Genomic DNA, 26875 nt, shown 5'->3' with positions numbered 1-26875 from the left:
ATTACTCTGAGTGGGGCCTCTGGTAAAGTTTGCTTGATAGTACTGAGAATGGATACCCTTATCTCACTGCTAATCTTAACATGAATAAGGTGAGTGTTTGCACATTCAGTAAGGGGGTACTTTATGAGTATCTTTTAATAGATTGGGGATGTTTCTTGTTATTCATTTATATTGAAAGTTATCGTGAATTGGTTTTGAATATTGTCAATTGCTTTTTCTTCATCTACCAAGATATTTAATTCTTCTTTTTTTCTTAATATATTATATTGATTGGTTTTCAATATTAAACCAATCTTAAGTTCCTGGGATTAACCTCATTTGATCTCAATGCACTATCCTCTATTTATATTGCTGGAGTTGAGTATTGATATGTTTAAGGACTTTCTCATATTTGTGCTGATATGATTTGGCTGTGTCCCACCCAAATCACATCTTGAATTGTAACTCTCACAATTCCCATGGCTGTGGGAGAAGCCCGGTGGAAGGTGATTGAATTACGGGGGCGAATCTTTCCTTTGCTGTTCTCATGATAGTGAATGAGTCTCATGAGATTTGATGGATTTACAGTGGGAGTTTCCCTGCACAAGCTCTTTGCCTCCTGCCACCCACATAAGATGTGACTTCTTCCTCTCTGCCTTCTGCCATGATTGTGAGGCCTCCCCAGACATGCAGAACTGTAAGTCTAATAAACCTTATTATTATTATTTTTTTTTGGAAATTGCCCAGTCTCGGTATGTCTTTATCAGCAGCATGAAAACAGACTATTACACGTGTTAATGAGAGAGATCAGTCTAAAATGTTGTCTCTTGTATTTTTCTTGTCTAGTTGTGGTATCAGTATTATTCTACTCTTATAATATTAGTTGAAATGTTCTCTTTCTTCTTCACTTTCTAAGGAGTACAGGGATGTTATCATATACTCCTTAGAAAGAATGATACAGTGTTTGAATATTTGCTCCCCACTCCGGAATCATGTTAAAATTTAATTGTGATTGTGTGATTGCAACAGTATTAAGAGGTAAAATCTTACGGAGTATTTAGGCCATGAGGGTTCTGCCATCATTAATGGATTAATGTCTTTATTATGGGAGTAGGTTTGTTATCACAGGAGTGGGCTCCTTATAAAAGGACGAGTTCAGCCTCCTTTTGTTTCTCTCTCTCTCACCCTCTCTTTGCCCTTCTGTCATGGGATGATGCAGCAAGAAGTCCCTCACCAGATGCCAACCTCTCGATCTTGAATTTCCCAGCCTCCAAAACTGTGAGTCAATAAGTTTCTGTTCATTATAAACTACCCAGCCTGTGGTAGGTTGTTATGGCAGCACAAAACAAACCAAGACAAGGAATTACAGGATTTATTCCTTAATAATTGATAGAATCCATCATGCAATCCACCCGCTTCTAGAGTTCTCCTTGTGGCAAGGTTTCTAATTATGAATTAAATTTATGTAATTTACTAAATAAATTTATCTTTAATTCATTCTTTATTTTTATCTTTAATTGATGTAAAATTATTCAAATATTCTTCCTCTTCATACATTCACTTTGGTGATGTATTTTCCTTTTATTTTTAGTTGACATGTAATTACTGTATATATTTATAAATACAGAGTGCTATTTTGATACATGTAAAAAATGTGTAATGACAAAGTCAGGATAATTAATATATCCACTACCTCAAACATTTATCATTTTTTATGTGCTTTAAACATTCAACATTCTCTTTTCTAGCTATTTGAAAATAAACACTAAATCATTATTAACCACATTCAACCTTCAGTGCTTCAGAACACTAGAACTTAATCCTCTTATCTAGCTGTAATGTATCTGTTAACTAACTTCTCTCTATCCTTTCCTCCCAAGCTTTTCAGACTCTTATAAGCACAATGCTACTCTCTACTTCTATAAGTGCAATTTCTTTTATCCCCCAGATAGACGTAAGAGCATGTGATATTTATCTTTGTGTTGACTCGCTTATCTCAGTTAACATAACGTCCTCCAGACTTATCCATGTTGCCATGAATGACAGAATTTCATTCTTTTTTATGGCTGAATAGTATTCCATTGTATATGTACAATGGAATGTTTTATGTATATATATACACACACACACACTTTTTAAAAAAGCATACATATATACTTTTTAAAAAGTATATATGTATGCTTTTTTAAAAATCCATTCATTTATTGATGAACATTTAGGTTGATTCTACATCCCTACTATTATGAGCACAGCTGCAGTAAACATCAGATGCAGGTGTGTATTTCATATACTAATTTCCTTTGTTTCGGATAAATGCCCAGTAGTAGAATTGCTAGTAACATATGTTAATTATAGTTTTAGTTTTTTGAGAAACCTCCATACTGTTTTCCATAATAGCAGTACCAATTTACATTTCTTTTTGTTGTCTGTGCTTTTGAAGTCTTAGCCATAAAATCTTTGCCTAGACCAATGTCCTTAAGCATTTTCTCTGTTTTCTTCTAGTAGTTTTATAGCTTTGGAAATTACGGTTCAGTTTTTAATTCATTTTGAGTTGAATTTTGTATATGGTGAGAGATACACATCTAGTTTCATTTTTCTGCACATTGACATCCAGTTTTCCAGCAATATTTACTAAAGAGGCTGTCCTTTCCCTAATATCTGTTCTGATGCATTTGTTGAAAATCAGTTCACTATAAACACATGTATTTATTTCTGAATTGTCTATTCAATGTTTTCATTTCAAACATTGTATTTTTCAGTTCCTGAAATTTTAGTTTCATTTTAAAGTTTATTTCTCCACTAAAATTTCCACCTGTTTATTTATTGGAGCTATTCTAAGTTGTTAGATTTATTTCTAATAACTTTGTTATTGTATAAATGCATTTATATGCAGTTTAAAAACATGCGAAACTAATTTATAATAGACCTCAGAATAGTAGTTGCCTCTGGGAACTGAGACTGATTGAAAAAGAGGACAAAGAAACTTTCTGGGATAATAGGGATGTTTTATATCATGATGAGGTGTGAATTACGGGATATATGCATTTGCCAAAACTCATTTAACTGCACATGTGAGATTTCTTCACTTCACTGTACTTAACTTTTACCTTGATTTTTAATTTTTTATTGATACATAATAATCATACATATTTTGGAGTACATGTGATATTTTGATACCTGTATACAAGGTGCAATAATCAAATCAGTGTATTTAAGATATCCATCACTTCCAACATTTATCATTTCTAATAACTTGTAAAACATGTGTCTGCTAATTCCAATATTACTATCCTTTGTAGGTCAGCTTTTACTGGATATTTTTGAGGAAGGTGAGTAGGTTATATTTTCCACTTTTCTACATATATAGTATTGATCATATGATTGACATTATAAATGCTACATTGTTGATAGTCTTTATCAATTGTAATTTCCCCTTTAAAAATGTACACTTTGTCCTAGTAGACAGTTAATTTACAGACAGATGAACTTGATACCTTACAGTGTAATTGAAAGGTGATTAGAAGGTGTCTAGACTAGCCCTACTTCTAATGTGCTTTCTTTCTGGGTTCTCAGTTGAATACCCAGGGTTTTCAGGGAGATCTCTTCACTATTGTTGTTCAGAACTCTAACGTCTCTAAGTACTTTGCAACTTGCAGATTCTTCATTTGCTTCAAAAATTTTTAGTAGTTGTTTTCTTTAAGACAGTGTGGAAACATATAGGTATGCACAGCTAAGCATTGAGCCTAATACTTAAGGGGTCCTCTCCATAGATTGCTGGAGTCCTTTTCTATAAAGCTCCAACTTCTCTGGTCCCTGTCCTATAAATGCTAGTCACCAAAAAAAGCCTCAAACGCTGGTTCTCCCTGTCTGCTTAGATCACAAAAATCTTTTTGCTTTGCTTGGGCTCCATCTCCTTGCCATTTGGTCTCAAAAGTGTTGTGAATAGAAAGTCATAGCAAGGTTGATTTTGTGCATTTACTTGATTTCAGCATTTATGGTCATGATCCTCCTAATGTCCCATATCTGAAAACAGATGTTTTGTATATTTTGTACAATTTTACAGTTGTTTATAACAGAAAAGCTAGTCAGGTAACACGTACTCCATCTTTTCCAGAACAGAAGTTTGAAAATTCAGTTGTTAATCTAAAAACGCTTTACCCAAATACCATACACATAACCGTTTAAACTTACTGCAGTGTTTTCTCTACCAGGAATCTTAAAAATGACACATTGAATTTACCACAGAGTTTACAAAAACTGGTATTAAGAATTGAAATATAACCTGATTTCAAAACAGAGTAGTTCATGAACCAATTTTTTACTTGTTTTACTTAATTTCAGTACAGAAACACTGTTATTTTATCAGATCTATCTGAACTACAGAAAAAATTAAAAGGAATATGTTTAAAGAAGATAGGAAAGAAACTTCTTATATTCTCAAGATAATCAAAGACAAAATATGGAGAAAAATTCCATATCTGAGAAAGAAGCTAACGTGGCTTGGATTATACTTCATGCTGTATAAAAATTAATTTGGTTTTCAAAAGCTCAGTTTGTTCTCTTCTGCTTATCATCAATATTGTTCACTTCAAAGTTTGGAAGCTTTATAAATTAAAGTATATATTCTTAATAGAATAATTCTTTTCCTATTAGTTTTAAAAGTTAAACACTGAATTTTTTTTGTACAAAGCATTTCCTGTTTCCCCTTTGTAAAGCTGCATAAGCTACTTCATTTTAGGCATAAAAGAAAAATAAATTATACTCACTTTACTACAAGCACCTGTAGTGGTCTCACAGACTGTGAGGATGGAGATGTTCTGAGCTCGGTTTAACCATCTTACCACAGTCTTGGTATTGCTTACCCATTTAACCATAGTGATATAGTATTCTCTAGTTTGGAAACAAAATTAAAATGTATGTTTAGAGCCAGAGCATTGATATAGTACCAACAATATACATTTGCCATTTTATATATAAGAATAACTGAACCACTATAAGGATGTTGCTACATATTAATTTATGTATAGATAGATAGATAAATAGATATCTGCTCTTTTCAATATTTACATATATAAATACAAATATATGTGTATGTATGTATTCACATGGATGTATACATATGTATACAAATATACAGATAATTTGAGAACAAATTTGAGAGTGAATTATTTCCCAGAAAAGTATTTCTTGGAAAAATCAAAACAATGACATGCTAGATATTTATGAAAATTTTCTATTGATTAGTACTCCTTTAAGTGCAAAACAAGTATACATTTATAAAGGTATGTTATTTTTTTCTTTAAAATCACAATCAATGAATCATCAAGAATAATCTCTTCCAGTTAAAAGGCAAAGATTATTCCTGGCTTAATAATTATATCCTTTATACATAACCTCTGTGTTATTTCACTTCATACGTGGGGACTTTGGCTACCAAGGTATGAATGGTTTGTTTTGGTCTTTGCCAGTTGTAGACCAAGGACCAGTCCCAATTTTTAATACATAATTTTTTCCATATTGTTAATTATCTTATTTATTTGAAACATTTTTAAACAAGAAATGAATCAAATTAAAGAAGATGGGAGTCTATTAAATTCTTGGTATAATAAAGATATAATTTATGGGGCCAATTATGTCCTCATGGTAACTGGTGATTGGAAAGTTTATATATCTTCCTTTGTAACACATACATTTGGACAGGTATACAATATGTCACAAAGCTTCCAACTCACACGCAACAAAATGCAATCATCAATACTCATCCATTTATGATAAAAACTTAAAAAAACTTCTCTAAAAACTTGCCCAGTTTCAGAACAGATCAGTTACTTTAGAAATAGCCATCCAGTCTACAGCCATACCATCCTGAACATGCCCAATCTCATCTGATCTCAGAAGAAACAGCCATCCACGTGTCACGGAAAGTGTCATCAATGTACTGTATTAAAACTAATTAAACTAGTTTTGGCCAGGTGCAGTGACTTATGCCTGTAATCCCAGCACTTTGGGAGGCCAAGGCGTGTGGATCACGACGTCAGCAGATGGAGACCATCCTGGCTAACATGGTAAAACCCTGTCTCTATTAAAAATACAAAAAATTAGCCGGGTGTTGTGGCACATGCCTATAATCCCAGCTACTCGGGAGGCTGAAGCTGGAGAATCACTTGAACCTGGGAGGCAGAGGTTGCAGTGAGCCGAGATCGTGCCACTGCCCTACAGCCTGGGCGACAGAGCAAGACTCTGTCTCAAAAAAAAAAAAACAACAAAAAAAAAACACAGTTAATTAACCCAGTTTTATATGACTTAGAAAAATATCAACTACAGAAAAATAACCTCTTGATACAAATTGCCTGTCTTTAGAGGTATCTGGGTTAGATATACAACTACATGAATGTTACATATCTAACATTACCGAGTAGCTACTGTTTCCTCTAGAAAACCTGTTAGCCTATCAAAGTGAAGATGTCAGTAGAAGGGCAAGCATAACTTGACATACAAGGAAGGCTGTAATATTTTTTTCAACAATTTCTTCAAGACATCTGGCAGCTGCCACAACTAGCTGAGCTCTGCTTGAAAACTGCCTTTAAACTCAGTGAAATCAAAACATAAAGTGCCCGAAGTAGAGTTAATAAGGCAACATTGAATCAAATATGCAGCTGGCTTAGGTATAATCTTTGTCCATATCAATAGGCCTTGTGATCCTGCAAAGAACAGTGTCCTGTTCACTTTCACTGTGTTTCGTTTAAGCCGATTATTTTGCATACACCATTATATTTAGCAATGTGAATATTAAAAAGTAGAAAATGAAGTATTAACCTTTAATAGATTTTTCTAGAGAATTTAGTTTATAGAAAAATGATAGTAAGTACTATAAATAATCAGAAAATAAGTGCTGAAATGCTGAATAATTGATATAAATGTTGTTGAAATTTGAAGTAAAAAATTAATTTGAATATTGTAAACAACTAACCAAAGACTGCAAAATCAAGAAGGTCATATTTTTTGGTAAACTCTATATTGAACTGATATATAGTTGCTTTTCTAATATAATCAGAAATTTGTCTCAATTACCTGCCATAATATTATATTTTGTGCAATATGAGGTAACAAACTAACATGAATAATTTTAAAAATAAATACCACCAACAACAAAACAGAATTTAAACATTCATCTTGAGAGCTTTCCTTTTCAAAGTTGGTCTCAAATGAAATGCTACAAGAACATCTTTGCAACACCTCACAGGCATGACAGAATATATTTATTAGCTAAGATGCCAAATTTTGACTTAAAAAAAAGAACTTAATCTTTGGAAAAGAATGAAAAGCCAACGAGTACAAATGTGGTGAATAACTGATTTTTAAGGGAACACTAACTTAGTTGTAAACTGTTAACTTGAAAATCATTAATTTACAGCAATATACTTATAGTTCTCTTTGATTAAATATTGTGATTATTGTGTCTGTTTTTAAATAATGTGGCTTACGGTCATAAGCAAAGCATAATCTGATGTGAGATACCTCATTACAAACCTTGCTTATACCCAAGAATGACCTTGCACATGGTAAACACAATCTGAAGAATGAAAGCTCTCCACAAATTTTAATTGGTAAAGTCTAACAAACGACCATTTCAAACCACTGAAATTTCTATATGAAGGTGTTGGAGATAGCCAAAATGGAAGCTCAAGTAGAGCTTGACACATAGGCAGGGAGGAAAGATATATCTATTAACTCAATCACTTCCTATATCCTTTCTTTCCTTGCCCCAGGAGCCTAGGTGTACATCTCCCTGTGATTCATATTGACTGATCTTGCTTACTCATAAGTATTCAGGCTGTCTCTGAATGAGGGAGTAGGGAAGCACCCTTACCTGGAAATGTCACACTCGTTGGCCTGCCTGCTGCAGATGTAGCTGTCCTCCTGGAACTCCATCTCATGAACACATTAGATCTGGTGTTCCACGACCAGTGGCCAGCAGAAGTGTCCCTTTCTTATAACTGGGTTTCCTGCTTGTTCCTAGTCTCCATGGCTCTGGATTACCCAGGAAGTCCTCGAGGATCTGGTCCTCTTGAGCCACAGAGACAGAGACAAGCTAGTTAGAGGGATTGCACTCAAGTCAACAGACTTTCTATCAGCTGGGTGGTCTGGCACAGAAGATCTAATTGTACACAAGGTTATGTGGAATGGAGGCCCCAGCATCACCTGCAGACAGGTATGTTAGCAGTTACACCGTGTTTTCATGGCCTTCCTGTCCAATCATTGCTCTGTGTTTACACCAAAATATTTGTGCGGTGTAGTTACTTTGAGCTCATTTTCTTCTAGATAATCTGTGATGTCTTCCCATAAGTATATTGTGATGGTATTCATGACCAAATTATAGCTAGCGTTCTACAAAGACCTCTGTTAATAACTATGCATTACTTGTCAGAAGGGTTATTCAGGACACTTCCATGAACATGGGTTAATTTATTAATTAGATTTTCTTGGAAGGCACAGATACTCCTTGGAAGAGTAAGAGATGTAGGCTAGATATACTTAAAGAAATAGGGAGAGAAAGCATGACAGTGTCAAGCCCAGAGTCACAGGGGCAAAATGACCATGTTAAATCAGTGATGCAGGTTGAGAACAATGGGTCACAAAAGATAAGTGACTACAGAAAGATTTCTAAGAAGTAAAATAATGCTAAGGACATAGAGTAAGAAGAAACCAAGGACAAATCATTACTTTTACTCTTCAGACTAGAGAGGTCTACACAAATGACCACGTATCACTTCTCCAAATTAATGTGACTTATCCAATCTGTGGAAAATCTTCATGATTCATTATCATAAGATAAAATTTCCCTGGAAAGTAAATATATATTTTAAAATTCACACTTAAATTTTCTAATAAAGGTATTGTGTGATTGCAATACCTTAAGTGCACAGTACAACAATTTGACAAAATGTTTCTTCCTTCCAAGATGAGATAACCCATCCAACTCCCACTAGTTCTGGGGATATTCAAAAAGGGGCATTATCTTAGTTCCTACCATGCTACATTCTTTTCAGAATCAATACAGACTGTGATTCAGGTAAAGATAAACTGAATGGTGATGAGATGAGTCTGAACTGAATTATTATTGAGGAAAAGTTGCACTCATTGTCTAAATTGATGAAATGACTTCAGCTGAATCAGACATAAATAAATAAAACAATTGAAGAGACTATGAGGGTAAGAATTAGGAGAAGAAATTATGTCTTTCTGTAGATTATCTTATCCTTTTAATTTCTTTCTAAATCATATAAATTAATTAAAATGTATTTTACAGTCTTTGGTGAGTATAAGTATTGGGTTGAAGGGATAATGATACTAGCTTGGGGAACTTTTTCTATTACAGTGATAAACACTAGTTATTATAAATAAGGAAACCAATCATCCAAATAAGCAATCAGACAGACCAAAAAAAGGACCTAAGATCTTCAATTCAAACAACAAAAAAATGTTGTTCTCCAGTGTGGAGGTCAGAGAATCTGGTTTATAAGGTAGTGGAAGTCATGAAAAAAATCTTTCTATATTTATCTTACTATTATTCCTCCTTATATAGACATAATCATATATGTATTCAATTATTATTGTAGTCATTTTGGCGATTTTATTAAGACAAGAAAACTAAGAGATGATCATATTTGTGGTTTAGGTGTGGTGGAAAAAAGTACTAAAAAAGAAAAAAATGATAGTTTATAACTGTACTGAGAAACATAATATGATTCACTTATTGGCTGTCAATTCACAGATAACCTAAAGATTATAAAAATATACCAGATGCTTAAGTAACATACTAAAAAAAAAAAACCCATAAACATGTAAATTATTATAAAATGAATTATTTAAATATTCTGCTATTGAGAGTTTAGGCAGTATTTTAAACTGTACAGGTAGCTATACTATGAACACAACACAAACATCAAAGAGAAGAGAGGACATTTGATTAACTTAATAGGACATGAAGAAAGTATGTTATTAATAATTCAATTTATATATGTTTATATTTATACAAATAGGTAAAAAAAATCAAGGTCAGGAATCAAGAGCTCCTTTTAGAAAGAAACATGGATATTGTAAATTTGATTCCCATTGCAAACTTTTTTTGAAAGGAAAAAAATTAGAAATTTTATTTCAAGACAAGCGGGGCCAGCCACAGTGGCTCATGCCTGTAATCCCGGCATTTTGGGAGGCCAAGGCGGGCGGATCACGAGGTCAAGAGATTGAGACCATCCTGGCTAACACAGTGAAACCCCATCTCTACTAAAAATTCAAAAAATTAGCTGGGCGTGGTGGCAGGTGCCTGTACTCCCAGCTATTCAGTAGGCTGAGGCAAGAGAATGGCGTGAACCTGGGAGGCGGAGCTTGTAGTGAGCCGAGATTGTGCCATTGAACTCCAGCCTGGGTGACAGAGTGAGACTCCATCTCAAGAAAAAAAAAAAAAAGACAAGGGGATTCAGCCCTGAGAGAGGTAAAGTGATTTATCCAATGAGACAAATGAAATGGTGGTAGACATGTGACTCAAGCACTCCTAGTCTATTTCCCTTTTCTGTTATTCCATAGCATTAAACAAACCAGAGAAAAAGATAAGAGTTAAGGACCAGATAAAATGTCAATAGTATCCATCATTGTTTCATTTGTAACGTAACCATTCATGGCTGCTAGATCAAGCTCAGAAATAAATGTTACTATTTGATTTGGTCAACTGTATTACATTATATGCCAATTCAGGCCTATTATTAAGGTCTTCCATCCAACGTGGATGAAATGCTCTGTAACCTGATGAAAGAGTCCTTACTTCATTTTCTACTTTTCTTATCAATGAGTCCTGAGCCCCTAATCTAAATCATTTACTCTCACTGGGATTTATCTTTTCCATCAGTAGAAGGAGAAGTTTATATTAGGTAGTTAATGAGGGTCTTCTGGAGTAAGCATTCCATAAACCTTTATTACCTTTTCAAGTACGTAAAATTTCCACACACATCAGGCTGCACTCTCTGTGAAAATGACCAACTGGGATGAAATTTTTTCTAAATAATGTCAATGAAACAACATTTGAATGAAATTTCTGTGGGAACCAATCACCCTGATTATCGATATCATCAAAATAAACTTTGAACTTATCCCCACATCATTCAATATAATGTGAAAACATTTTTCTAAATCAGCTGCCTATCCCATCTCTAGGGTTGTGATAAATTTCCAAAGGACTCTAGTATTTGAAAGAATCACTTTTGAAGTCTGAAACCATGATGGATTTCAAAATACACATGATTATTTAATTAGTTGTTCACTACTGAAGATTTTGCTAATATTACAATTATGCTTCTGACCCAATAAAATGTGTTTACTTTCTCCCTGATCAAGTTTCTTAAATATAAGTATTTCATACATAGGATATTTTGAAAAAAAAATTCTTAAATGTCTGGAGAAGAAAGCTAGAGAATCTTTGGCAAAACTATGGGGAGAAAGTTGGAAAAACTCACAAATTCCAGAGAGATTATACACTTTTAATGAACACCTTCAAAAAAAATGTGGAGCAACTATTTTCTTGAAGAAAATTCAGTGGAAAATGATCTTTTGTTCCCATCTCTGTCACATCTCCAGCAAAAGACCTAATTCTCAGTATCAGCCTCTTCAGTCATTGTATGGTGCTGATAATCACCTTGGAGCTAAATGCTTCCTAGGAACAGCCAGAGACCGAGAATGACTTCATTCCTCACTAATGTAGGCAACTTCAGCTTTATTTTCAAGTGGATTTGTTGAGCTGATCACATCTCTCTCTAAATTGCAACAAAATGATAATTGGAGTGAAAATATCTATTTCCCCATAAAAGTGAAATTGAAATTGCATACCTTGATTTAAAGCTGTCAGGTGGCATGAGCTCCAAAGTGTGAGTTGGTCCATACAGGTTTACAACATATAATTTTATTGTTGGGTTCACTTGACCTGCCTTTGAGAAAATGAAAGTTGTATTGCAAGTACATTAAGCATTAGAATATATTGGGTAAAAAAGAAAAGGATTTTTGATTCATTTACTGTTTTGTGTTAGAAAAGAAAAAAAGTTTAATTTCTCTGAAGTAGAAATGATTTTAAATTCGACAACATGATTGCCCTCAATTGTTTTTGAAGATTGCTGCTTCTCAATCATTTTCTTCAGACAATTAAAGGTGATAGGAAATCGTGATGACTTCACTCATTAGGCAGTGCTTCTGTGTTCTTTCCCTAAAATGGCACCAGAAGGGCTGGCTGTACAAACAAACAAACAAACAAACAAACAAACTAGTAGATCAAGTAGTTATTCACATTAGAGGATATGAAATGCAATGGGAAGAAGGTTTGGCTAATTAAAAAAAAAGAGGAGAAATGAAGAAAAATAGAAAGGAAAGAAAGAAAGACGCCTACCAAAACCAGGTGCCCTGTGCTTAAAATTCCAAAACCGTAATGTATGCTATCGCATTAATCTCCCGGGCTTTCCTTTTAAACATTACTAATTACTAAATGGGGTGACTCATTTGCATAATTGACAACCCTTGGGAGGTGGGCCATGGGCAGACTGTCCTCACTGAGTACCTGGCATGAAGAACAGAAAGGCAAGGATAGCAAGGATAATTTAATTTGAGTTCAGTGAATCAACACTTCATTAAATAAATAATAACTAGCAGGCATAGTAGTTGGTACGTTTCTGGCACATAGTAGGCACTAAAGGCATTGCACAAATTATTAAATTAAATGTCCCTACTACAGTCGTAAGATATAAACATTCTCTTGGTCACAATGGAGAATCTAAGCAAACAGTGCAACGTGAAATACCTAAAACTGAGAAAGTTAGTATTTAAACCCAGGATGTTCTTAACTACAATGCGAATATTGCGCTTTCTGTTTGTTCCAACACAATGGCCTTCAAAGTTTTGCCAAATACACTGTGAGTAAGGGGCAGGAATGAGAACTTTCATGACATATTTCAAGCAATTGGAATGAATAAATGAATAACCCCATCAATGAGGTACCAAATGTTTCTAAACTTAATATGCCATTAAGTTTAGACTTAATATGCCATTAAGTACCAATAAGGTACTTAATATGTTTCTAAACAATATGCCATTATCCTTATGATGTGGCTGATGCTTAAAGAAGTCCACATGAGATATATAGAAAAGAAAAAGGAAATTAAATGTGAGTTGAATTAAAAAATCCAATAAACAACCTAAAGGGAATAAAACTGATTTAAAAATGACGAAGATCCATGTTTAAGGAATTGGCATTGACAAAACCCATAGTTAAATCAGGACCAGAATCAACATAATATATGCCAACAGTAGCCAGCAGGAGTTCCTCAATAAATGTTTTGTTGGATATCAAAAGAGACTAGCACATCTGTGGAAGTACATCATTCACAGGTTAGAAGTTTTGAGCCAAAGAAAGAAGTCAGGAAAGGTTTCCACTATGGAAATGAGGTAACTGTTAAGAGAGATTATGAAATTGGTTCATAGAGTAAAGGGCTTCCTGGAAGATAAGCTATGAGCCTCCCGCACGCCAAAGGTTCTGGATCAGAATTTGCAAATCTTTTCATTACTCCCAAGCCCAACAGTGCCCGGGAACATTTTTTGGGCAGTTTAGCCTTCTGTGACTCTTATGAGCTCTCTTTCACATCATTCTTGTTTTAATTTAGTTGTCATGTTTCTCCCTCAAAATAACGGCCTTAATCTATTCAATTTTTAGCCTACCAGCCTACCATTTCTCTAGCTGGGTCTCGTATGTTGAACTTTACAGCCTGACACAGTATTGGCAGTGCCATTCAAAGTGTTGTTCTTGGACCGTAGCATCAATCAGCATCTCCTGGAACCTGAGCAACGCATTCATGGACCCCACCTGAAACCTATATTCAGACTTGGAATTAGAATCTCTCAGTGTGGGCCTACAAATCTGTTTTTACAAAATTCCCAGATAGTGAGTGTGCAAATTTTAATAAAACATTGACCTTTATCTGTATCTTTATCTATTTATGCATCTATCTATGTAACAGCTCAGTGGTGGTCAAAAGTTAGACAGCATCGCAATCATTCAGAGGTCCTGAGGGGCTTCTTAAGCTACTGACTGCTGAAGGCAGTCCACCTCCAGCATGAAGCTGATGCCCTATGATGCTGGTGAAAGGACCACATTTCGAGAACAGGCTTAGCTTAATGTGTAAGTCCATGAAACCTGAGTCCAAATGTTCAGTCTGTTATTTACTTGGCATGGTTATGAGCACATGCTAAAGATTCTCAAGTATCATTTTATTTGTCTTATTTTGTCAAAAATGAGACAAACACTTCTTTGAGAATATGTCACAAATCAGAAATTTTGAGTTGAAGGTTTCCTGTCTGTAGATAAGAATATCTCATAAACTAATAAAAAGATTTATGTAAAGTGCCTAAAATAGTATATGGTAGTGAATTAAAATGATAATTATTGTTAAGACATTAAATCTTCCAGTTAGTGAAAAGCTGTGCTTCTATTTTTTATCATTAGATACACTGATTAAAGCAAGCGGGAAATTAAATTAAATTAGATCTTTCTGTGAATTCTTACCAATGATGCACAGTTTTATGGCATACTTTCTTAAAGACGTATCAGTTATCATCTTTAAGGCAGTTTTCTTTATGTCAGCAGCGCTATAAGCTTATCACAAAGTAAAAATTGTGCACACAATGTGGCCAGTTTTCAGACAAAACGTGAACATCTCAACTAAGCGTTAGGCTGCCTCCAAAATTCAACAGTCCAGCATTCTCTAATCACAGATTTGTATCTTTCCATGGAGTTTTGAAATTAAGCACACATCGCAAGTTCATTTGTAAATTTTAATATTTGAATAATTTCAAGAGTTTGCAGATTGGAGGGTTTTCATCTATTTGCTTTTTACAGTTACATTTGCCATGAAGACTGCAAATCCACAAATTTCTCCCCTCTATTATTCTGAAACACAAGCCTCAATAACAATTAACCTTATTTTACTGGCAACTAGATTGTCATTAAACAAGATAATGTTTTAATTACAAAGATTAACCTGAGGTTACTGGGATAGAACCGTGCATCTGTTTTGTGCTGAATTGCTAATGATAGGGTATTTTATGAGTTCTGAATCATGCTGAATTAAGTAAAATACAAATATATTTGTTTACTGTATTTCATTAGTAAATCTGACCACATTAGGTATTTGCTATACTCATTTTCATCTAGTTTAATTTAAAGCACAATTTAGTATAAACTCTATGTGTTGTTTCAGTTTCCAAAGTGGCACTTTTTGAAAGTTTATCACATAAGAGTGAATTGAAACAATACATTTGTTACAGCAAAAACTAACAAAACATTTTTTGAAACCAGAGTAGATAATAAAAAATCTGAAAATTGACGTAACATACCCAAAATGATACTGAAATTTGTTTTAAGAACAAGGACCAAAACAGATTATTTTCTTAGAGTCCTATTGTCTTAAGTACCTGGGTAGGTGAGCAGGTCTTCCTACTAAAAATCACCTGAGGACTGGAAATTCTTTCTTTTGGCTTTGCCTATTAGAGGCATATGTTTTTTACTTCTAATAAATATTAATGGTAGTTATCATATATAGTTATACATATTATTTGCATATATATAAAATGACAGGTTTGAGGCTAAGAATGGCACCCACATGTAGCTAAGTCATTAGGAGTAAATGGAGCAAACAGAGCTCCATATGTATATGTTAACTTGACAAGGAGATGTTTGGATTCCAGCTGTGTTTTTGGAAATACAAATTGTTGACCTGTGGGAGTTTTATAGAGAGGGATGAAATCAATAGATTTGAGTTTTTTCCCTGTTCTTAAAATAACTGTGACTTGTATAAAAGCACTAAGCCTTTCAGAATCTATTTGCTCATTTGTAAAATTGAGACAATTGTGATAAAGACCAAATAAGAAAAAAACAAACAAGTGGAAAGTCTCCCTGAAAACATAAAGTTTATCATTAGTACCTGTGATTTCTACAATTAATAAACAAAGATTATTATGTTACGCCTATCTTTACTATTAAGCAATATTAATTTATTAGAAGACATTATCAAATGATAAAGTATCTAGGTTCATATCCAGTATCTTCTGAATTATTGCTGACATAATTTAATTTCCTCAAATGCTCCCATTGGTTTGTTTGTTTGTCTCAATCTAGTCAAAATTATGAGGCCTAGGCATGGCCAAGTTCAAGCACCATGAGTCTAGAACTAAGAAGGCAATTTGAGCATGCAGCAATGCATTTGGTTTTACTATGTGAATAAAAAAAAATCCCATTTCTTTTGGGAAATCAGTTACAAACAGTTGTCCCTTCCACAGAACTGACTGAATTTTCTTTGTGCAGTGCGTTGAGCAGTCAGATGTGATTGTATTCCCTTTGTGCAGTGCACTGAACAGTTGAATGTGCCTTTCACAGTATGTCACTAGTTCTCCATTTCACATTTAAATTGTCAGGTGAACATTTATTATCATAAATCAAACAATGTGAGAATTAATATATTTGGGGCAACTTTTCAGGTTTTCTCTGGGGGAAAAAATAGTGCTGGTATGCTGTATAGGTCCAAACTGTCATGCCAAAAAAAAAAAAAGCTAAATCTATAATTGGAGAAAGCAGAAGTTCTTTTCTTTGAGTACAATAAAAATCTCTTAGTATTTTTTTTTTGTGAAGTTAAATCATTATGTTCTCCTAAAAAGCACTGAGTATATCTGCTTTCTAATCTATGTCCAGAGAAGACCCTATAAATCACATTTTAAAATCATGGAATCATACTCTTTATAATCTTGCATTTAATACTACAACCTGTGGAAGGAACATGGATGAGAAATCTCACTGAGGAATATGCTCATTTTATTTCTGATCCTCAATATTCAAGCCTCCTTTTTTTGCCTTTGGATAAAATGAATATGGTGGCTGGTGGGAACAGAAGGAAAGTGTAAATGACCTCACCCCCACCCTGACAGGGCTAGAGTAATGAGGGTGATGGGAACCTACCCAGTAGTTTGTCTAACTAATGTAGTGCATGAATTAAACGGCAGAAAACCTATTGTGCTTGAAAAAGACAAAGTACAACTCACTAAAGAAATGGCTTAAAAATGGCTTCTAAATGAGATCAACATCCTCTCTTACTTAATTAGGAGCTAAAATGAGAAGAGAAATTTTACACGTTTCCCATAAGACTTCTTTACATGATTAATATACTGGGGGCCTTACACATGAGCCTTCTTCTTTGTTATATAAACATTGGGAAAAAATACATGTTTAAAAGAGATCTCGAGCAATTAAAGATGGCATACAGAGGAAAAAACAGTACAATCCAGATGTTTTTGCAACCCTCTTATAGAGGCCTTGCCCAACACTTGAAAATAGTTTTGCTGTCTGGAACATATTGCCATATTTCTTCACCTGATGAAAAATTCCATCTGTCTTACCTAACCATGGCTATGACTCCATACCAGCATTTTATATAGTGTGTTCTAGAGTATGCTCTGCCAAGGTAATGCTGATATTGATACTAATACTAATAAATGCTTTCTGCTTAGTCTATTCTTTATGGGTGATTTTTTTATACTTGGTCCTTTCTTTATTGAGATTCTTTATGCTTAATCTATTTCAGACTGGAGATTCTTTATGCATAGTCTATTTTTTATAGAAGATTTATAATATACATTAACATATAGCACATTAAGTGCTCTAAGAAATCATCTGAAAGAAGCTAGATTTTTTTTTAAGAACTTCCAATGTATTTGACCATGGCACTTTCCCCTCCTTTGTAACACCTATTATGGAATAGGCCTTGGACAAAACATTGCCCTGGCCTCAGTACACCCCCAATTGCTTCTCTCTCCCCTTTCAACTGTAAGGTGTGAAAAAATAAAAGTGAGCATCAAAAGGAAAGAAATGCAACAAAAGTGAAAGTTCACACACTTTCAAATCATCTCTACCTCTCTCTACCCAAGCACTGTGTATAGACTACTGGGAGATCGAAAGTGATGAGTCTGACAAGTAAGGAAAACTTCTGTTTTCCTCCAAAGACAACTTGTTCAAGAACCAAGAATACCATCTGTCAAGTCACTAGTGCAGAGAGAGAGAAGGAACAAAATAGTACTTCCATGTTACTTACCTTAGGATACGGATACTGCTTTCCTTTGGGATACAACGCTCCAGTAAACCGAGGGATAACCATGGTGGGTACCAAAGAGTCATTTATCATCAGGAAGGCAAGTCTTTCTCCATCTGGTGACCACCAGTGGGCGATGTGAGAATGCAGGAGTTCCTCTAGAATAAATGAGTGTTATTTGAGACCAACTGTAGAGATGTGGGCTCAGTGACCCACAAACATCTGTCCTTGAAATCTCCATTGTACACCTATATTTTCTAGACTGTGTATTGAATTTTATTAACTTCCCTGAAAATTCTCTAATTCTGAGTCACCCTTTTAATTCCAGGAAGAGCAAGCAGCTGTAGAGGAAGGAAACAATGAAGCACCTAAGTCAGGATTTCATGGATTTTCAGCAATGTAGACAGAACAGATGAAAGCACTACTGGAGTAATCAGAATGAGAACGGTGATTGAAGAGTGAGATGTGGCCTAAAACCATATCCATGTCATGATTCATTCACATTTGCATGTAATCATATTTGCATTCTACCATCATCAACCAAACTGAGGGCCCACTAGATTCATCAAACTATTTTAAGCTCTAAGAAAATGGAATAAGAAGTATACTGGGTATCTTTCATTTAATTCAAGATCCACTATCCACTTTTTTGATTCCCGCTTTCTGGTCCAGAAAGCTAACCTATATGAACGACATCAAAATGGCCCCCATGTCCTCTGGCTTCCCTTTGGCAGGAGATTAGAAAGAGGAGAGTAAAGTCAGGTTATTTATTCTCTTGGCTCTATCCTACAATGTTACCTCAGGCTGGCTGTGAACTTTAAATGATGTCACTACTTCTGTCACTGCAGCCACCTCTACACAAATTTCTCCTTATGTGTCTAGTAATGGCTCATCTTCATGGTCATAGGAGTGCTAACAACTTGGCTGCTACTAGCTTAGTTTACATCACTTTCCTTTGTGGTTTTCCTACCCCTTAACCTCAGCAAATGTTCTCCTTGTAAATAAAAAGACAATAAAATGTTCACTTTGTAAATCAATTATCTTCAAAGCATCTTGTTGAATGTGCCAACACTTGGGACTCTGACAGATACAGAAGTTAATAATAGCAGCAGACTCAGAAGAGACCCTCAAAATTAGATGTTGAGACTACATTTGTCATCTCTCTATCTATATATACAAATGGAATTTATCACCTTCTCAAGTGGGAATTGGAGCATAGACAATCCATAGCAAGAGACGGAACTGTGAGTAATCAATCATCAGTGGTGGTGACATGGAATAAAATACAGGTAGAGGGAAAAGGCATTGGGAGAACAAATGCTTGTTGAAATAGGTAATATTTTTCAATACAAGTGACAATGGTCTTTTTTCAAATCTTGTAATGCCTGTCCTATGATTGTCATATGGAGAGTGGCAAAGGCTCCACACAGCATCTCTAGTTATAGCAAGTAAGTGTTGTAGCACTTACTTGCTACAACAATGATGATGTAAAGATTAGGAAACAAGTTCGCATGGTTCTTCTGACACCCCACAGATAGTACACAGGAAAAAAGAAAGCTTGAAACCATGATTGTGAAATCAGGAATGCCCATGCAAAACCAAAGGTCACGATGGTATCTTTGGAAGAGTCCATCTCTTCTGTAGTTGCAGGGAAACTATGGCCACAGTCCAAGAGAACATAGGAACGGGTACACGGCTGCAATACATATTAGAGGCTCAACTCCATTTGCTCTTTTAGGGTAAGACAAAGATATTCATAACGATGGATTGGGACCCCAACACACAGGATAAGAATGTTTGGACAAAAGCATACAGTATAGTTATGATTTCTTGGCCAATCTTATAAATAACACATTATGGTTGAATGCTGCTGTATGTGGTTAATTTTATGGCTGAAGATATTGAACATCAAAATTCTGACAAATCTTCTTGCTGACAGAGGCAACCGCTATCCTAGGGAACTAGAACTCCTCTGCATAGAGGTAGAGAAAGGGAGACAAATTTCTTTAAAATTTAAAAGTGTGCAACACCGGGGATGTTTCTAGAAATCTAGTAGTTTGGGATACACCGGGATATCTCTTCTAAAGTCAGAGAAAATTTGTTACAATTGTACTTATGTAAAAGTAAAGAGGAATTGAATTCTTTGGACTTTGAAAACAACACAAGCCGCATTGACATATGTTCTCTGTTCTATATCCCAGGCAAGCTGTAAAACTGCTAGTTCTGAGTAGAATCAGTGTACCAGGGGGCCTTGCAACTGATCTAGGCCATGTTGCAACCTCCTCTATGTCCTGAACCTTGTGACTCCAGCAGATCCAATGGCAATGTCAGTGCCCATGGCAAATAGAGATGCTGTGTGGAGCCTTTGGGACTCTCCATATGACAATCATAGGACAGGCATTACAAGATTTGAAAAAAGATCATTGTCGCTTGTACTGAAAAATATTATCTATTTCAAGGGCAGCTCTTTCCAGGGCTCCAGGAGAAACATTTAGCCTCACCATGGGATACCAAGTGAGTATGCAACCCAAACTGCCCATCATGAACTGATGGCTATCTGATCCACTGACCATAGAACTGAACACACACACACCATTCCACTATAAAATAAAAGTGAAATTGAGCCAGAAAACAAATGTGATTGCCCATTGTATTGCCTTCTCTGCTTCATCCCCTCTCCTCATCTCACATCTGTGCCACAAAGCATGTTTTCTAACACAAGTTGGCAAGGGAGAAATAAACGCGGGCCTGGTTTATGGCAGGTCTGCAGGATGTACAACAACGAGCTGGAATTGGGTAGGCTCCATACTAGAATCTGACTCAGGAGTGGCACTGAAAGACAATAAGAAACAGAAATCTTCCCAGTTGGTAAGATTTTGAACAGAATACTTCGTTGTCCACTGTTCGTGGTAGGAGACTTAGTTTCAGGCATGGAAACATCCTGACTCAAGTGCAGTAACTAATAAGGGTCCACCTATCAGGGATGTGGCAAAAGTAAAATTAGAAAACTAGTGACAGGGAGGTTTAGGAAAAACAAGTGAATCGACTTACTAGAAAGGGGAAAAATTTAGGACAAGATGACTGCCAAGTACATGTCCGTCAGCCTCTGGCTCCCACCATTACCTGCCAATGGTAGTGGCCATCGCTGAGCCTTTGACATAGGATCACTTCTCAGGGGAAGAGCTGATGGCACGTGAATTTTTTGCCACAAAATATTTCCTTTTTTGAGATAATGTAATGAGGAAGGCACATGAATTATATGAAAACCTTTCCATCAAGACAGTGTAGCATTTTGTCATCACAGAGATACACACATATTCTGGGCATGGATTTGCTTTTGCTGCCAATGGATCTGTTCAGCACTACTCTTTACAGAAACATTTATCCATTACCATAATAATCCACATTACCTTATCTCAAAAAAGGAAATATTTTGTGGCAAAAAAGCACCATGGGCTCAGTGGTGGTATTTACTAATTTTATCATGTTCCCCACTAGCTATATGTACTTGGATTGATAGAGGAGTAAAATAGTCTGCTCTACCTCAGTTTTGGCACTATTTGTTTAGCAATAACCTTGAAGCCGGGATGTCATCCTTTAACATGCAGTGTGCCCCACCTGTATAGCCATGAGGTACAGATCTAGGCACTAAGGGGTAGAAGTAGTAGTGTTATCTTTTATTATCACAGCAATAACCCACAGAACACAATTTGCTTCTTATTCCCATAATATTGAAGTTGGTGAGTTTAGAAGTCCATTGCCTAAAGGACGAGGGTATCCACCAGGAATATAGTCATAATTCTATTCCTCTGAATTGGAAACGGAAATTTTCTCCCCACCATTGTGGGCTCATTATGCAACTCCCCCAAAAAAAGACAAAACACAGTTACTAAGCTGGGTCTGATGATGGTCCTCATCTGCCAGAAATAAAAATATGTTTGCTGTGCAAAGGAGGGCAAGGAGAAATACATTTGGAACTCAGGAGAGTCACAAATACATTTTTGCCCAATAGTACTGGTCGATGGAAAACTGAAATTGTAACAACATAATTAACAAAAGGATGGGGCCAAGTGCAGTGGCTCACACCTGTAATCACAACACTTTGGGAGGCCGAGGTGGGCGGATCACCTGAAGTCAGGGGTTAGAGACCAGCCTGGCCAACATAGCGAAACCGCATCTCTACTAAAAAAAAAAAAAAAAAAAAAAAAAAAATTAGCTGGGCGTGGTGGGCACCTGTAATGCCAGTTACTCAGGTGGCTGGGGCAGGAGAATCTCTTGAACCTGGGAGCTGGAGTTTGCAGTGAGCCGGGATCGTGCCACTGCACTCCAGCTTGGGCAACAGAGCAAGACTCTGTCAAAGAAAAAAAAAAATAGAAAAGGATGGAAAGGAGTAACATTTGGCAGGAATGAAATTTTGGCCTGATCCACCTGTTAAATAACCTCTGTAGCATCCTGACAGAAAGTAAAAGTAAAAGAAATGAACATTGGAAGAAGGCAACTGTAATTACTAACTAAGATCACATAATAAGTTTTTATTATTATTATTAATGGGGGCATTTCTCCACAACCTTCTATGAAAAATACAAGTGGTGGCTATGTTTACAGATTTCAGATATATAACAGGACTAATACCATCCTGCAATGAAACAATAGCAGATGAGATTTTATGTACTTCTTTTCCTGGGACACTAGCTTTTAATTTGAATAATAAGAATATTCTTATGTTCTTTGACTTTTTCTTGGGTATGACCACTATGAAACCCTGGCGAATCAAATGAAGGGAGGAAGTGGGTGCGTGGAATTTATTTTCTTATCTCCCATGCATCCAAATTATGTGAGTTTGGCTTCGCCCAACCAAAAGCCACTGCTTCTATTTCTGTAAAAATTGTATAGCATTCTCTCCTAGTTTCAGGTGACTGCTGTGTCCCCTTCCCCCTTTGGCTGTTAATGGCTAAATCATTACAAGCCACGGTTGTGGCATTTACCTTGTTCATGATAAGGGGCCCCTTCATAGCTTAAACTCCTTGAATTACTCCCTTTTGAACGTGCCACCTTTCTTCAGTTGTGATATTGACACTGATTTATGCAACTAACTTACAATTTGGTTAAGGAGACATGAGTTATACACATGACACATTCAGAAAAAAATATACATATACGTGTGTGTGTATATATATGCATGCTAAGGGCCAATTGAGTGTAAACTCTAAGTTCTTTTTTTTTTTTTTTTTTTTTTTTTTTAAGACAGAGTCTCACTGTGTTGCCCAGGCTGGAGTGCAGTGGCATGATATCGGCTCACTGCAACCTCTGCCTCCAGGGTTCAAGTGATTTTCCTGCCTCAGCCTCTCAAGTAGCTGGGACTACAGGTGCTCACCACCAGGCCCAGCTAATTTTTGTATTTTTATTAGAGACGGGGTTTTACCACGTTGGCGAGGCTGGTCTCGAACTCCAGACTTCAGTTGATCCGCCCACCTCGGCCTCCCAGTGCTGGAATTACAGGCGTCAGCTACCATGCCCGGCCCCACCGTAAACTCTAAGTTCTATGAGATTTGAAGATACAAAGATACCCCGTTGGCTAAAATCAATACTCTAGATTTCTAAGAAACAGGTTCTGTCGTAGGTGCTGAAATATGTGTGTCCAGTACTTCCCAAGAATAAACCTGACCCAAATTTGAGTACGCTTTTCAAGAGAAATGAGGCATCGCCTACTCTCATTTATTTTAGAGTGACATATGATTAATGTTCTTCCCCATAAAAATGCTAATGTACCAAAATAATCATATAGAGAGCCTTGTGACTTTCTTCAGATGGAAAGATAAAGCTACCTGGAATGGGAAGGTGGTAAATAAAATAATCTTTAATATGCATTTGCTTAACAGTCATCCTGGATAAGGCACAAGCTTCTTTAACTGCAACTAATGGGCACATTTACTCATGGATTGAAACTTCCAATGTTAATTATATTATATTATTTACAAAGAATTTATTTTTACAAATGGCATTTCATTCCAATTTAGTGTACGTTTGGCTCTTCATCGTTTTTATTACTCTGATTTAGAAAATCTCACTGCAGAGCAGATGGAGTTTTCAGCACATGTGGTTTTATATCACAGGCACTTAAAAACATAGCCACAACACAAAGCACTTCCACAATACTGAGATACAACGATTGTGTTTAGATTAATGTGTTATTGTAAAAAGCAAGCTGATTTTTTCCATTTTTAGTTTGTCAGTTCAGACCAGTAGGATTTCCTGAGGATGCTACTTGCAGCTCTGCAGGCCTGTGGTTGATTTTTTTTTTTTTTTCAATTTTCTGCATTTCACTGTCAAATTCCTTGAAAGAATAGTCTCTATTCATAACTTTCTCACTCCCCATTTACATGTCCATCCACTGCAGTCTTGGATTTGGCCCCACCAATTAACTGATTTTACTCCTGTCAAGGCCATCGATGATCTATGAGCAAATCCAACAAAAGCTTTGGAATCCTTCCCTTGTTTGACCTCTGGAGACTCAGCACTACTGATAACCCTGCCTTCCTGTGACTCCCATGCTGCAGCCCCATAGATGACACTGAGCAAGTGCTCAATAAATATTTGTTGAATCAATGATGAAATGAATGCAATTTCATGTCGCCAAAAGACATTAATGTGAAACATTAATGTGAAACAAACATGAAGGTGAAAATAGGCATTTTGCCCTGTTTTATTTCAACAAAAAAAGTGTAACAATCAGAATCTGCTGATAAGAATATTGCTTATCTCGTGAATTTTTCCGCACCTTTTCATTCTTGTCATTCTTGAATACCAACACAAGGCCCATGTCATCTATGAAGCACCTGACATTCCTCCATCCTATCAAACTTAGTTCTACTTATAATTCTATTTAGTATGTGAAATAAATCCTATTTATATTTATATTTACTATGCTCCAAATGGTTCCCAATACAATAGTTGTTTATTGTTTATCACTACACTAAGTTGGAAATACCCAAGACATGGAAACCCGTATTTCTCATCGTATTGCTCTTAGATAATGCCTGGCAGGTATATTTGCTCCACAGCTGTTGGATTAAACTTTAAGGAATAATCCCTTAAATATACAAGGTTCTAAAATATATCTGTAAATCACTTAAGCATATTAGTTCCATTATTCTATATGCTTAAATATTTGAAAGTGAGTCATTTTTTTTCCTATTTAATAGATTAAATGCTTTATGGAAATTTTCAAAGCTGTGAAGTGGGTAGCTGTAAACTTTCTTTTTAGTAACATTTTAAAAGTTTTTAAAGTAAAACTTTGATCTGATATCGTATTTAATTACATTGCTAGGTTAAATACAGCAATTTAAGTGAATAACATTATACGTGTTTTGTGCGAATTACATTTTAAATAATCTTCCTTTTTGAGCATTTTCTTATTTTTCTGACTTCGCTGTTTAAAATGCATTATACTTTATATTGCTTTACTTTCTTTAGGAACTAAACAATACTAAAAATAGAGACAAAGATTCTTAAAACTGACACTTTTAAGGACTCTATTTAGTGACTAGTTGGGGGCAGCAGCCACTCTTACAGATTGGCCTGGTCTTAAAAGATTAAGACATGCCTGTAAAGCTTACTGTAAAAATATTTTATTGTCTTTTATGTCACTCTTTCTCTCATCTTTTTTTTCTATGACATTTACAAAAGGTAAATTTCAATTTTAAAAAAGTTGAAATGTTACATGTTACTTTCTGTGTCTCCCATACATGCTAATTTAGATTGTAATTGACTCCTGTAAAGTAATAAAAAGGAAATCTCCACACCAGAGTATCACACACATAACGTTGAAATTACATGCATTCCCTAGGCAATATCATTGTGTTTCAGTGAGTGCATTAAAGGGGAAAAAAAAGGTCTGGAGCTTGGGAGCTCCTGGCACATTCCACAAGCAAGGTGATAGTGGGAGGGTAAGGTGCATGTAGGACTCTTGAAGCAGAGGTTGGGGGTAGCAGTCAAAATAGTGAGGGAAAATCAAAAACATCTGAATAGCTTACATCCCTCTGCCAAACCTTAACATTGAAGTCATGGGTAGGGTTCCTCCTGGAAATGCAGTGAGGATTAGAGTAAGTCCATGGACAGTAGGATGAGTCTTTGGCTGAGGAAACAGATCACTGAAGTCTGACAATTTAGGTCCCAAAACGTGTGTTGTGTCTTGGGGAACAGTGAAGGACATCCCCCTATAACAAGTAGAGTAGACTAGTGACTAAGCCCTGGCTTTAGGAACAAAAGACACACATTCAAATGTTGGCTCTCCCACTCATTAGCTCTGAGGCCATGTCTAAATCACTGATCCTCTCTGAGTCTTGGTTTCTTTTTTAAATTTTTTCTTTTGAGACAGGGTCTCGCTTCTGTTGCCCAGGCTGGAGTGCAGTGGCATGATCTTGGCTCACTGCAGCCTCAACTTCCTGGCTTAGGTGATCCTCCCACCTCAGCTTCCAGAGTAGGGGGGAACACAGGTATGTGCTACCCCACCACCCCACCCAGTTAAATTTTTTTTTTTTTTGAGACAGAGTCTTGCTCTGTCACCAGGCTGGAGTGCAGTGGCATGATCTTGGCTCTGCAACCTCCAACTCCCTGGTTCAAGCGATTTTCCTGCCTCAGCCTCCCGAGTAGCTGGGATTACAGGTACGCACCAGCATGCCCAGCTAATTTTTGTATTTTTAGTAGAGACGGGGTTTCACCATGTTGGC

General features: G+C 35.9%; 1 protein-coding gene and 1 long non-coding RNA gene across 25 annotated transcripts in view; one reads left to right on the top strand and one right to left on the bottom strand.

Annotated features, from left to right (window-relative positions):
• The window catches only part of DPP10 (dipeptidyl peptidase like 10), a 1403140-nt gene that overhangs the window by 87738 nt on the left and 1288527 nt on the right, over positions 1-26875 (bottom strand). For 23 of the 24 annotated variants that reach the window (NM_001321910.3, NM_001399849.1, NM_020868.6 and 20 more), the window contains 3 exon segments: positions 18150-18304; positions 11860-11957; positions 4746-4869 (listed from right to left, as the gene is read on the bottom strand). In NM_001321910.3, coding sequence (NP_001308839.2) covers positions 4746-4869; positions 11860-11957; positions 18150-18304 — 377 coding nt within the window. 24 annotated transcript variants of the gene reach the window in all.
• Positions 1221-18554, top strand: LOC105373572 (uncharacterized). Its single transcript, XR_923234.3, has 3 exons — positions 1221-1257; positions 3279-3308; positions 18475-18554. It is a non-coding gene; the product is annotated as an uncharacterized LOC105373572 (long non-coding RNA).

Source organism: Homo sapiens, chromosome 2, assembly GCF_000001405.40.
Source record: "Homo sapiens chromosome 2, GRCh38.p14 Primary Assembly".
Lineage (NCBI taxonomy): Eukaryota > Metazoa > Chordata > Mammalia > Primates > Hominidae > Homo > Homo sapiens.
Note: the sequence above shows the minus strand (reverse complement) of the source record. Positions and strands in the feature narration are given on the sequence as shown.